General features: G+C 40.3%; 1 protein-coding gene across 13 annotated transcripts in view; it reads right to left on the bottom strand.

The window, feature by feature from the left end:
* CREB5 (cAMP responsive element binding protein 5) overlaps positions 1 to 14,431 on the bottom strand; it is a 526,574-nt gene that overhangs the window by 101,845 nt on the left and 410,298 nt on the right. For all 13 annotated transcript variants that reach the window (NM_182899.5, XM_017012807.2, XM_017012808.2 and 10 more), the window contains one exon: positions 5,171 to 5,297. In NM_182899.5, the coding sequence (NP_878902.2) occupies positions 5,171 to 5,297 (127 nt within the window). The remainder of the gene's footprint in view (positions 1 to 5,170; positions 5,298 to 14,431) is intronic.

Raw genomic sequence — 14,431 nt, 5'->3', positions numbered from 1 at the left:
CATCAAAGAATCATCCAAAGCCGTGCTTCTATACAGGGTGCCCCAGGCCAAAGAGAACTACATTGTCATGGCAGATCACTTTCAAATAAAATTACCAAATATTTCCACTTTTGTAAATACTCCAGCTACCACCAATAGTGCTTATTTGTATGGCTGTAAAGAATAATATATCCATACAAAAGCTATAGGAAAACTAAACGATCTATTTCAAGTAACTCCACTAAATATAATCACCAAGGTTACTTACTATGAAAGGATAAATAATATACCAAATGGTTAACTTGGGAAATCTATGGCTTTTTTTGTCTCTAAATTTTATATAGTAAACATAAATCTTTTGGGCAATCAAAATAATTAGTTTTAAAAGCAACACTCTCAGAGGTGGTGGGCCTTCCTGTCACCCTAGTTCACAAACACAATCATTGTGATCCAGCCAGGCATTTGAGCTGCTGCCCAGTGCATCTCTTCTTCCTTGTTACCCTGCTACTCTACGCAGCTGCAGTTTCAGGCCTGGTTTCATAGCAGGGCTAAGTCTTTGGGTAGGTGAAGAAAGCGGCCGAGGGTTTTGTATTTCACATGAATGGCCGCTCTCACATTGTCTTCCTGCTGGCCTGCCATTGTGTCTAAAATGAACATCGTTCAAATACCTGAATCGAGTTCTGGCATTTTAATCTCCAGGGTGCTCGTACTAAGAAGCGAATACGGCAAAATGTCTACTTCCATTCAGGAAGGGTGTGTTTGATTAATAATATTTTCCGTTTGGTGGAAAATTAACACTTTTAAAAGAATAAGAATAAATCAAGTACACTTAATACTAAAATCACACAGAAAAGAATTAGACTTTCCTCAGGGGGACAAGAATAGATTCTTCAATGCAAGCGTGTTTCCATTTGCCAACGGATGGAAATGAAAACAATGATTGGAAATTTTAAGAAACCAGGTTTCTGCTTAAAGTTAGCCTAGGTAGTCTTGGAAAATACGGAGTTGCTTGCTATTGGAGGTGTTCAAAGAGTGGAGGACTGAAACCTCACGAACAAGAGTGAAGCTTGAGAGGGCTCATTGAACTAAATGACCCTTAAAGGTCTCTTCCCTTGTTGTGATTCCATGACTGCAATTTCTGTTGTGTCTGCCTCGGAGCAGGGGTATAATTATGACATAAATCTGTGGGTTAGTAGAGGTGCTAGCTAAAAGCTTTCTCTCAATTGACTGGTGGCTACTCCCTGTGACAGTTAAGAGCCATCAGTCTTACCTTAGCCTGAATGAGCTGATCAGTCATCTGGCAGTGTGCAGATGTGTGAAACTGTTTCAAGAGGAGCTAATAAAGGTGAATTTTCTGTACATTTCCAAGCACTTCCGTACAACTTTTTGAGGCCTTGCCAATTCAGTAAAATAAAATGTTCACTCCCACGCACCCCCCTAAATCTCTGAACAGCTAATTTTTAAAATTATTTTCATTGTGGTAAAACACAAATAACATAAAATTACCATTTTAACCTTTTAAAAGTATCATTAAGTACATTAAGTTCAGGGCCATTAAGTACATTCATGCACTGTAATTGTAAATCATGAAGAATTCAAGAGTTTCATTGCTCTAAAAAAATTCATGTTACTTTTATCTCCCCTTCCAGAGGCTGGTGGATGGGAGAGCTGGAATAGTATTTGACCCCTTATTCCGACTGGTGACCCTCTCAGAGAGGGAAATCAAATTCCAAAATAACTTTTGCTTCCAGGTTGCCAAAGAAGGATCTTTCAGAAGTACAGATAATTGTCCAGAGCCTTCCAAGCTACTAGTTATATAAAGAGGTAAGAGTAGCCTGCTTACAGCTTCTGGAATTGTAGTCAGCAACGCTTCCCACTTTTTGGAAAAGCTATAGTCTCTACCTAACCTGTGATTCACAAAATGCCAGTTTTAAACAGGCTGATTTATCTATTTAAAAAATTGCATTTCCAACTTCATGACTGTCGTCTTATAGACCTAGAGTCAAAATAACTATTTGGTGCTTTGGACTAATAAGGCTCTGTCTGCACCAGGAGCTTGACTTCAATGAGTTGATTAGAATAAAAAGCCCAGAAGATGGGAGTGGCTTTGCTGAATACTGGGCAACATTTAGCACTGCAGGTAAAATAGCCATGTAAAGGATTTCACCTTTTGCACACACTGGAAAACAGGAGCTAGCCTGTCTGTAGTTCAGTGAGGTTTTGTAATTATAAATGTGTGTTCACGCTTCCAAATTATTAAAGCATTTGAATTTCAAGATAAGAAATCACAACCCACCGAACTCCTTGAAGGCAATGCCTGCCTTGTTCTTCATCTTGTCCCCAGCACCCAGCACGGTACTTGGCACATAGAAGGTGCTCAACAAGTTTATGAAATGGATGAATGAGTAAATGAATGAAATAATACATCATTTTGTTTTACACCTAGACTTCATAAAATGTGTGGTCCAGCAGCATGCATTACAAATCAGTGAAGAATCCTGTCCTCACTTATAGACACAGACTTCTCTTTTATACCCAGGGAACTGTGGTCTTCCAGGGCAGAAACTCTAGGGGAAGCGTCTCCCCTGTGACCAGGTTTGAAATGCCTAAGTTATAGTACAGGAACTGGTGACACGATAAGGAAGAAAGGGCCTAGGTTTCTAGGGCCTGGAACTCTTACGATATGCTTTTTAGAAATCTTAAGTTAATGTTTATTAGTTACATTGATGTCACTCAAGACCAGGGCTTCTCAACCTGAGGCCTGTTGAATATTGGGCTAAATAATCCTTTGTTGTGGGGGCTGTCTTGTGCATTGTAGGATGTTTGGCAGCATCCCTGGCCTCTACCCAGCAGGTGCCTGTACCTTCCCACCGACCCTGGTTGTGACAACCAATGGAGTCTCCAGATATTGCCACATATCCCCCGGGGGACAAAATCACCCCCAGGTGAGCATCGCTGCTCTAAACTGACGCCTATTGCCATGGCAGCTGTGTACATCAATGTCACAGGTTTGGGAGCTCTTGACCATGCAGCTGAACCTTTGCTGCTACTCTGAAGCACTAACAGGAGGTCAAGCTGTAGGAATAAATGATGTGGTAGAAACTGGTTTCTCTGGGTCTTTTCAGCCTAAGTGTCTCATCTTTGTCTCTGGGAATGGTGCACAGCTTAGCCAAATTTTTTTTTAAAAAGTCTCTGCAGTGGTATTTTTCTGGGCAATGCATAGAAGTTGTAAAAAAATAATAATTTTTGGATGGGAACAACTTAAAGCCTAAAAGAAGACAGCTTGTGGTGGAAGTCTTCACGTAGTTGGTTGGGTTGAATAAAATGTGGGATAATTGCATTGATGGTGCTGTTTTCTTTCATGTAAAGGGGTCTAAGGAGAGCAACATAGGTAAAGTCAACCAACGTGATCTGTCCTCTGGCCCAGTGTTGCAAAGACTGTTTCTAATCTGGACTACTCAGTATTTAGGGTGGGCAAGTCCATTTCTCTAAACTGAGTCTGCGGGCCCTTCGCCGTTCCCCTGCCTATACTTAGATAAATGAGCAAATTGCTCAACCTGGGATGATCTGAGCTACTCAGTGTCAGTTGAGACGTGGGTTCCAGCCACAATTCTTCACTCACAAGCTGTGTGACATTGGACAGCTACCTTCAATTTCTTCTTCAGCTTTTCATCTGTAAAATGAGTGTATCAGTAATTACTGCTACTGTATCCCCACAGGATTGCTGTGAGAATAAAATGAAATAACAATGGAAACAATTTCTTAAAATGCTAAAAGGCTTTGCAAGGCATTGTTAATATTGTTGTGGGGAGGGTTTTCATTGAGTTGTTACACTGCCTCTAGGGCTTCTGAGAACTCCGGTGGCCCTGTGAATACACCAGCCATCTTCACCAAAGCACAACGCCAGGGAGGATGAAGAAGAGGTCCATGCAAGGAAAGAAATATTTCTTCTGGAAAACTGGGTATCTCCCTTCTATGTTTATCTATTATTATTTTTTGTGTTTGTTTTTTGAGACGGAGTCTCGCTCTGTCACCCAGGCTGGAGTGCAGTGGTGTGATCTCAGCTCACTGTAACCTCCGCCTCCCGGGTTCAAGCGATTCTCCTGCCTCAGCTTCCTGAGAAGCTGGGACTACAGGTTCATGCCACCACGCCCAGCTAATTTTTCTATTTTTAGTAGAGATGGGGTTTCACCATGTTGGCCAGGCTGGTCTCGATCTCTTGACCTCATGATCTACCCACCTTGGCCTCCCAAAGTGCTGGGATTACAGGCGAGAGCCACCACGCCTGGCCTTATCTATTATTTTTATTGTTTGTTATTAGATAATGATTATGAGTGGAGACTCAGAAGTCGGACTACCTGGATCTAAGTCCTACCTCCATCACCTATTAGCTCTGTAACCCTAGCCAAGTTACTCAGCCTGTCTATACCTCAGTCTCCTCATCTGGAAAATAGGTATAAAAACAGTGTCTATCTCACAGGTTTGTTGTGAGAGGGAAAGGAGAGAGTGTGTGCATATCATATAGTGGTTAAGAGAGTGGGCTCTAGAACCAGAATTCCTGGGTTCAAAACTCAGCCACTCTGCTTCTCAGCTGAGCAAGTTACTTGCCTTTCTTTCCTCATTCAAAAAGTGGGGACAGTAATACACCCATTTTGTAGAATTGTTTTGTGTGAGGATCAAGTGCTTGGAATGCGACTAGCATACAGTAAACACTCAATAAATACTGCTAGCATGATTAACAGAACAACAGAACATGATATGCATAAATGCATGTTAGCAGCTATTATGTATGATCATTGTTATTGATATTATTATAGTTATTATCCTGAGTCCTGGTTAGACGACTCACTGGCAATTTAAGGACACTCTGTATACAGCCCAAACTGTAGACTTTGGAGTAGATATGAAACACCATCTCCCTGAACAAATTCCATTCCCTGGGTGTCACAGGCCCACTTGTCACCATGGACCATATCTCATAGCAAAGCACTGAAGGGTGGGGAAGCCAACACGATGCCTGGGGATGGGCAACTGGGCCCTCAAAGCAAAATTGCACACAGCTCAACCCTCCATTCAGAAGCAGTCGCCTTCTTTCCCATCAGCTTGGATCTCAGAGTTTCCTTTGCCCTTTCAAGAGTGGCAAACCTCAGTGCAAGTGACAAGCTATTGTGAGACACACAGAAACACTTACTGGCATCAAGACGGCGGAAGATCCTGGCATTGTAGGGTTGGGCAGGGTCCCAGGCATGGAGGCTGGCATGGGCTGTCTCTGTCTGTTGTGGAGATGTAGCAGAGAAGATAGAGAGCCTGGGACAGGCCTGGGACAAAGAAAAAAACAAACAAACATGATTCCTGGTGCCCTGGCCCTGTCTCCCCAGTGTCCAGAACAGCAGGGACAACAATGTCACATGTGCAGCAGATCAGATCCACTGATGGGAGAGTCACATAATTGAGGATATTAGGGAAATAATAACAAATAAAACACAAGCCTGGTTTCCTTTGCTGCTTCCTAGTTAATATATCAAATTCCACTTCATTTCCTGACCTCTGTTATCTAACTGATGTTCAATAGAAACAAGCCAATAAGTCTCCTAAACGCTCGCATCTTAGGAAAGGAACTTGGTGGTGAAATCCTTTGTTTACTCAGAAATCTCAGCCCTCTGAAGTGTCTTAGAGCCTGAGATCTATGTACATTTATTTTAGCCACGCTCTCCCACACCTCTGCCTGGAAGCCTGCCTGGCTTTGCTCTGGAAACACTTTCACTCTCTGGATTTTCAGAGCAAACTTCATTCATGAATTCCCAACAGAAATCTGTTTTGACTTTTTCAGCGTTCTCCACTGTGAATGGAAAAAAACAAACCAAAGAAGCCGGATCCTGGTGCGGCAGCACAGCTGGCCTTTCTCAGAGCAAGTCCGGAGCCTAGCCTCCAATTACCAGCCTCTCATTTCATAATAACGCGAGGTGTTAGGCTGTTTCACAGAAACTGATTTGGGCCTGACCTACAAGACTTGGGTAAGCACTCCTCGGGGGAGTATTGTACATAGTTTGAGCTTTTGCTTCAATTTGCCAGAAAACAATTTTAAGAGCCTTAAATTGATTTAATGAGCCAGAGAATGTGGAGCTGAGGGAAAAAGGGAATTATTTGTGTTTATTAAAAATGGCAAACAAGAGACCTCCCCACATAAATTCTCAATCTCCTCATGCTTTTGCTCTGGGGAGCTGTATAAATGTCAAATCATTTAATTAAAGACCTAACAACAAACAAACAAAACAAAACAAACAAACAAAAACCTCCCAGGACCTCTGAGGCTTCCATGTTAAACAACCTTCTCCTGAATGTTATGCTAGAAACTAGTGCTTCCAGAATTAATGCATTCTCTTAAGAGAGAGAGAACGAGGGAGAGGCTCCCTCGTGCTAAGTGCTGGGCAAAGGTTGCAGACAGAGATGTTCTGGGTAGGGCAATACTTTCCTGTGCTTGAGAAGACAGCCCTGTCTAGTGCTCCCAACCAGAGTAGGAGAAGGAGCTGCTTCCCCAGAGTTCCTTTGGCTCCCATGAAAAGTGGAAGATTGAGGTGGGGGACAGAATGCCAACATATTCTTCCTTCACATGCCTGTTGCAATTTCAAAGAAGATAAAGTTTTCCACTCTTTTTGCCCAAGAGGTCTTTTGGAAATAGAGCTAACCACCAGAGTCACACACATCATAGAAGGATTAGTCATTAATCAGTCAAGATTTATGATCAGTTTAGATAGGTGTATATATGAAAATATAAAAGAATATAAAGAGTTCGAGACCAGCCTGGCCAACACGGTGAAACGCTGTCTCTATTAAAAACACAAAAATTAGCTGGGCGTGGTGGCGCACGTCTGTAATCTCAGCTACTTGAGAGGCTGAGGCAGGAGAATTGAGCTGAGATTCTACCACTGCACTCCAGCCTGGGCCACAAAGCGAGATTCCATCTCAAAAAAAAAAAAAAAAAAAGAATATAAAGCCTTTCCGCAGAGATTATGCAGATATACACTAATTACACTCAGTTGTATTAGTAGAATGTGTATGTGAGGAGATACACAGAGAGGCTAATGGAAGCAGCTTGTAACAACGATGAGTGCTTTCGGATAAGCAGATGAAGTGCTATGGGTATTTCTTGACATGTACTCTTGGAACTCTGGAGTATAGATTGACAATAAGGACTAAGAGGGCCTTTGAAGGTCCTTTGGCTTTTACAGATCTAGAAGACTGCTGGTTTCAATTGATCCAAAATACCATGGCAGGTTGTGCCTTCACTAGGTCTTAAAGTCTCCTTCACAGGTGGATAGACTGAGTCAGATAGGTATAGGATGTGGCTCAGTCAACCAAATTTGTTGATATCCTCCGGTCTTAATGTTTTGTTTGGGAACTTTACTGAATAGAAAATAGTGGAATATCAAAGTGTATATATAATGTTTAATAATGGTCAGTTCTTCTAAATCCAAGATAAATAATCCGAACTCCCTACCTCCATAATGAGAAAGATTCACTGAGAGGACCCCAACATATAGCTAATCATCCATCTATCCATCCGTCTATATATCCATCTCAATAGATGTACACAATACAGCTATACACACATACAGCCTTTTACCACGTTTGTATTCCTAGTCACCAGAGGGGAATGTTTTAAGTATAGACAGTTAGGAACAAGTAAAAATATTATAGCAAAGACAGCTAAAAACATTTCTTTTTATTATGTTGGTTTGCAATATCATGCTCATGGGACAAAGGGCAACATATTATCATCATTTACATTCTGTATCCAATGGGACATATGAAAAATAATATTGTTCATTAGGATTTTTTTGAGGTGTTCTTTTTCAAAAAGAAATCAGGGAATCTGTCTGAACCTATTCTAGTTCAGGAGATTGCCTACTAAAAAATAAAAATTAAAAAAAATTAGAGAAAAAATTAATTAAACAACTTAATGGTTACGCGAATGGGGATGCAAAAGTAATTACATTTAAAATGAGTTTTTATTCTTCCTGAAACCATGGAAAACTCTCAGTTATATAAATAGTTTGGGAATGGTATGTTTCATTTAATTCAGTGTTCTTATTAGGTAGGTTATTTCTACACTTTGTAGAGACCTACCAGATTTTAAAATATCAAGTATTTCCTCATTAAGATAGCCTTTCAGGGTACTAGGTTCCCTTGGGATTATAATAATAATTTCCTAATGATATCGATCAAGCTAATTAGTAGTGTATAGAAGGGAAAGGATTATTTGAGATCCCTATATGTTTGGATTCTGAATAATTTTGAGGTTATTGTTCTACACAGATTCTATAAATCATTTCCCCAACCCCCACCTACCAAACCAGCAGAATTTTCTCTCTGTTTCTTGCTTGAATTTTTAAAACTACAAAAACTGAAAAAAGTAAATTAAATGACCTGTGCCTACTCATCACTAGGTATATAAAGGACTAGACTGACGCATGTAGCTATGTAGCTAGGTCCAAGAAACAATCATTTGTCCAGAATGCTCATATCGTTAAAGTAAGCATGGCATTGTCTAATTCCCTTCATGTATATTGAAACTAGAATTATTATTTAATACATTATACTTGCATAAAACTTTTTCTATTGCACTTAAATAATACTTCATATTTTTAAAGGCATTTTATTGTCCCTAACTTCATGTGCCTTGAAACAATGCAATGAGGTAGTTAGATCATATTCTTCCCATTTAAGTCAGGAGTATGCTGAATTCAGAGACATTTAAATTTTCCCAAGGTCACATGGGTCATGAACGGGAACGGGGCTTATACTCAACTTGCCGTACAGGGTTTCCCCCATCACACCTGGATGGCTCCCATAACTACGTTATTATTGATTTTTTATGTTAAAAAATTCACAGTTCATTTCTTTTGATATTCACAGTGCTCCCTGGACTTTCTATAAAGTAGTAAAATCCTGTAATACTGCTAACGTGAGAATTCACTCATCCACATGAAATTCCATTTTCTTCCTTTAAAACAAAACAAAACAAAACTTCCCAAACAACACATCAGTTAGACTCTGAAAATAATATGGCAAATTGCAGTAAAGTTGTGAAAACAAAGACCCAACAGTCCTTCTCCAGTGCAGGCTTGTTGCCATGAGCTAATAATTCCAGACTTGGTGCAGGCCAAGCCTCCCTTTTAATAACCATATGCCTCTAGGTAAAGTATTCCTACTAAAAATTATTGAGGCATGGAACAAGGTAAGATGTGTGAGCTCATGTTGGATTGTTCAATTACTAAACTGAGTCCTGCAGCATTAAGAGTTTTCCAACTTGACAGATTATTCCTCTTTCTACACTTGTATAAACATACTGCTTACAGTTGAAATCTATGTAAGCTTTTCTTTCAATTAAAATGTCAAGGATGACAGACTGTGTTTTCACTGTCCTTAACAGAATGATAGGCACCGCAGCAAGCGATTTCATGTCCTCATTTTTCCCCCCGAAGGATGTTTTCCTGTCTAGGGGTGTCTGAAAAGCCAGAACTGTGTCTACAGGGTCTTCTTTGCCCTTGGGCAAGCCTATCCTCAGGCCAGTGCTTTCGTCTGGAAGGTGCGAAGGGGTCTCTCCACCCTGCTGTCCTTTCTCAGGTCTTCAGAAGATCTGTGGCACACTGGGACTATCTGTTAAACTCTCAGGACAGACAGATCTGCCACGTATGTGACCAGGCAAAGGAAAGAGAGTCAATAATGCAAAAAAAAAGTAGGTTAGAAGATGGGAAGATATTGATCTTCCCATTTTCTTTTAATTAGCATCAAAAGCAGACCACAGGCTGGGTGCAGTGGCTCATGCCTATCATCCAGAACTTTGGGAGGCAGAGCTGGGTGGATCATTTAAGCCCAGGAGTTCGAGACCAGCCTAGGTAACATGGAAAAACTCTGTCTCTACAAAAAGAAAAATACACAAAAACTAGCCAGGCATGGTGATGCTTGGAGGCTGAGGTGAGAGGATCACTTGAGCGCAGGAGGTGGAGGTGGCAGTGAGCCGAGATCACACCATTGCACTCCAACCTGGAACCTGGGAACCTGGGCATCACAGTGAGACTCTTATCTCCAAAAAAACCGAAAAACAGAAAACAAATAACAGACCATAGATATCGAAGAAATCTTGAAAAAAAATTGAAAAAATAATAACATAAGGACTTGGTGGAGAACAGAATTAAAAAACAAAAAGCTTCAGGGAGCAGGAGGATATCCAGATGTCATTGTTATTAAAGTTATTGACTGGGGGAAAAGACTCTTAACTTTCAGGCTCTCCATTTCACCATCTTGTAATGAACAGATGAGCCTATAGGCATCTCAAAGACTCTTGAAGCTCTAAAATTCGGATTTCAGGACTTGAAAACAAGATGTTCTTAATCCAACTAGATTATGACTTCCATCATGATAAGGGTATCATGCACTGCTCACTGCAGCAACCACAGTGCTTAACCCAGCATCTGGCACACAGTAGGTGGTCAGCGTCTTCATTTAGTGAAATCAAGCCGGTCCAGCCAGCATTTAGTTCTTCATATCAAAACTGCATTTAAAACATGACTAAACCCCAAATAGAAGGTGTTCCTAAAAATTAAGAGAAGTTGATTAAAAAGGCTTTATATTCCACGGGACTCATGCTTCTTTCTCATTTAAATACAACAAAATTTCACACCCAGACCACAAAAAGAATATTTGCTCATTGCACTTGTATTTGCTTATGCAAAGACATGGTGCTTCTGGTCAGGTGAGGTGGCTCACGCCTGTAATCCTAGCATTTTGAGCTTGAGCTCAGGAGTTCGAAACCACCCTGAGCAACATGGCAAAACCCCATCTCTATTAAAAAAAAATACAAAAAGTAGCCAGGCATAGTCCCAGCTACTTGGGAGACACAGGTGAGAGGATTGCTTGAGCCTGGGAGGTCAAGGATGCAGTGAGCTGAGATCTTGCCACTGCACTCCAGCCTGGGCAACAGAGCGAGACTTTATTTCAAAAAATAAAAAATAAATAAAAATTTTTTAAAATATGTGCTTCTTTTGGACCTTCTTAAATGAAGTCTTGTAGCCTAATTTGGCAAACTACTTTTTTCTTTTTTTTGTCTGGGACAGGAGACTGAAATGCTAAAGAGAGGAATACAAACTCTTAAATCTTAAGAAGTGGCAATTACTAATGCAAAATGCTTATTTACTCATTCTTCTCCAAAGTGGAATTTAAAAATTTCTATTTTTGGCCAGGTGCAGTGGTTCACACCTATAATCCCAGCACTTTGGGAGGACGAGACAGGCGGATTGCTTGAGGTCAGGAGTTTGAGACCAGTCTGGCCAACACAGTGAAACCCCATCTCTGCTAAAAATACAAAAATTAGCCAGATGTGGTGGTGGGCACCTGTAATCCCAGCTACTCGGGAGGCTGAGGCACAGGAGTCGCTTGAACCCAAGAGGTGGAGGCTGCAGTGAGCCGAGATCACTCCACTGCATTCCAGCCTGGGTGACAGAGTGAGATTCCATCTCAGAAAATAATAATAATAATAATAATAAATTCTCTTTTTTTTTTTTTGAGGAGTTTCACTCTTGTTGCCTAGGCTAGAGTGCAAGGGTGTGATCTTGGCTCACTGCAACCTCCGCCTCCTGGGTTTAGGTGATTCTCCTGCTTCAGCCTCCCGAGTAGCTGGGATTACAGGCATGTGCCACTATGCCGGGGTAATTTTTCTATTTTTAGGAGAGACGGGGTTTCACCACGTTGGCCAGGCTGGTCTTGAACTCTTGACCTCAAGTGATTCACCTGCCTCGACCTCCCAAAGTGCTGGGATTTCAGGTCTATTTTCATAAAGAAAGAAAATTGTTAGAATAATCAAGTAGAAGGTTAAACAGAAAGACAATATACTTAGCTTCCTTGGCAGGTAATAATTACATTGTAAAATGGAGTGATGTGTAAAGTGAAGGACATGGGCCAGACTACCTAGGTTGGAATCCTAGCTCTATCACTTACCAGCTGTGTGACCTTGGGCAAATTACTTGTCTTCTCTGTGCCTCAGTTTCTTCAACTGTAAAATGGGGGTGATAGAGATATTTATCTCATGATACTAAATGAGCAGTTGAATATACTAAATGGGTTATTTTTGTCACTATTATTATTCTGAAATGTTGATCTAACAACAGATTAATCACCATACTACAATAAAAAATTATGGCTTGCTCTAAAACACCAATCTTTAGCTTTAAAGAACCACAGTCCAACAAATGTAAAAGGTCCAACACTGGCTGCATGTAAGATATTTCTTTAAAAATCCATCAACTTTAGATTTCCAAACCCTTCTACAGAGGCAAATGAACTTCTCTCACCCACAACTTTACAGAATTTTCAAAATGACTTCACATTATTTTTCAGAAAAAGCCCTTGAGAATATTTCCACAAAATGGAACAAAACTAGTTCCCCAGTATCTTGTTTTTCCTAAAAACAATGACAAATGAACACAGAAGCAAGAATTAGGAACACGAGAAAGCTGCCTGACCCATATTTTTAAAAGACGTCTTATTACCCATATCTTTTTGTGAATGAGCTCATGTTCCGAACCAAATCTTACTGTCAAGCTCCTAGAGAGCAGATATAATATTTCCCCTTTTAACAAATGACACAAAGAAGTAGAAATATTTAGCCTTAGAAAAGGCATCAAAATGCCAGCAGACTCAATTAAAACATGTATTCTCTCTTTCCACGCTTTCTTAGGCTCAAGGGAGGGCTGCTGGCTGAAGATCTGGGATTTCCCCATCTGCTTTTCTTTTGGTGACACAGAATGTTGAGTGTGCAGGAAGAGAATTTTGCCTTTGTATCTGTAGCCTATTCTCTGCCTCTTCCCTAGCCCCTCTCCTGTCCTAAAACTGTCACTGTCAAACAGCGAATGCTATAGCTTATCAGGGAGACCAGTAAGCCCACCTCCCTGTGACACAACATGACAAAGCTCCAAGACCTTGCACCATCTGGCCTCTGACCACCTCTCTCGCTCATTGCTCTGGGCCTGGTATACCTGCCATAGTGATTTCCTTTCACCTTCATGGAAGCGCCATCTGTCTTCCTGCCACAAAACCTGACATATGTAATCTTCACCACCTTCTCTGGGCAACCACATCAGACTGGAGCCCTTTCTCGAGTGCTCTCAGTATACCCTGTACATTTCTCTAGGAACATTTATCGCTATTCAATCAATGAATCAATCACTCATCAAAGATCAATTAAACAACAAATATGTGTCAGGCTTGGTGCACGCTCTCATTTTAGAAAGGAAAACTGGTTTGGCCAGTTAGATCATTTAAATAATAATTTATTTACAAATTTCCAATTGGTGTATATATAATGATAAATTAAATGTGTTCTGTAGGCTCTTAGAAGGGACCATTTCAGCTTCCTGATTTAATTCATCAATGATTTATGTTTAATTTTTAGAGATGGGGTCTTGCTATGGTGCCCAGGTGGGCTTAAAACTCCTGGGAGCAAGAAGTCCTCCTGCCTCAGCCTCCTAAGTAGCTGGGACTACAGGCACTCACCATAGCATCTAGCAATTCATTAATTTTGAGTAATTTTTAAAAATGTCTCTTCTCCCAGCTAGACAATAAACTTCATGAGTCTGATATTATGTCTACCTGTTTACTGTAGCAGATATTTCTGAAACTTAAGAGAGTACATGGTACCTAGTAGGTGCTTAATAAATATGTCTTTTATTAATGAAAACATAAATATCAAGAATCACTCTAACAATGGACATTCCAGGAATCACGTTCAATAGATATCTTCACTTACTAATGAGAATAAATTAATTGATTTACAAGTCATAAATGGAACTCCATTTTACATTAACAGCTTAATACAACTCATTTCTGTTCTTGAAAAGCATAAAAGGTAATGTGTAGTTTTTATCAACACCCCTTAAACTCAAGCTTTTAGATGAGTTCTAGACCCACTTGTTTTCACATCAATTAAATCAATTTCCACTTGAAATTATATTTTAGGCATTTCATAAGAAAAGGCCAAGGATAATTCAGGAACACTCATCTGTCTCCAATCTACACTATGTTTTAAAAATTGGATGCCTGCCCTGCAATAAGGTCGTACTTTAGAATGCTCAAAGCTGTGCGCAAGGAGGCACCAGTTACACCCACACTGTGGTCAACTAAACATCTCATTTCTGCTTCGCACGGACTTATCGATATTGACAAGGGCACTTTTGGATCATTATCACCAGGGTGTTGGAAATGAAGTTTACCACACGAGGTAAATTTGGGCCTCCTTTTTATGAATTTGGTACTACTGATGCCTTTATTTTATGGATGTAGTATCTGTTATTTTGCAAACGATAACTTCTTCTTCTTTTTTTTTTTTTAATAAAAGCCTGGCTTCAAGTAAGCCAATGGTAGTAATAAAACATAATACAGCTAACAGATCTGCATC

This window comes from Homo sapiens, chromosome 7 (assembly GCF_000001405.40).
Source record: "Homo sapiens chromosome 7, GRCh38.p14 Primary Assembly".
NCBI lineage: Eukaryota > Metazoa > Chordata > Mammalia > Primates > Hominidae > Homo > Homo sapiens.
This window is presented reverse-complemented; position numbering and strand designations above follow the sequence as displayed.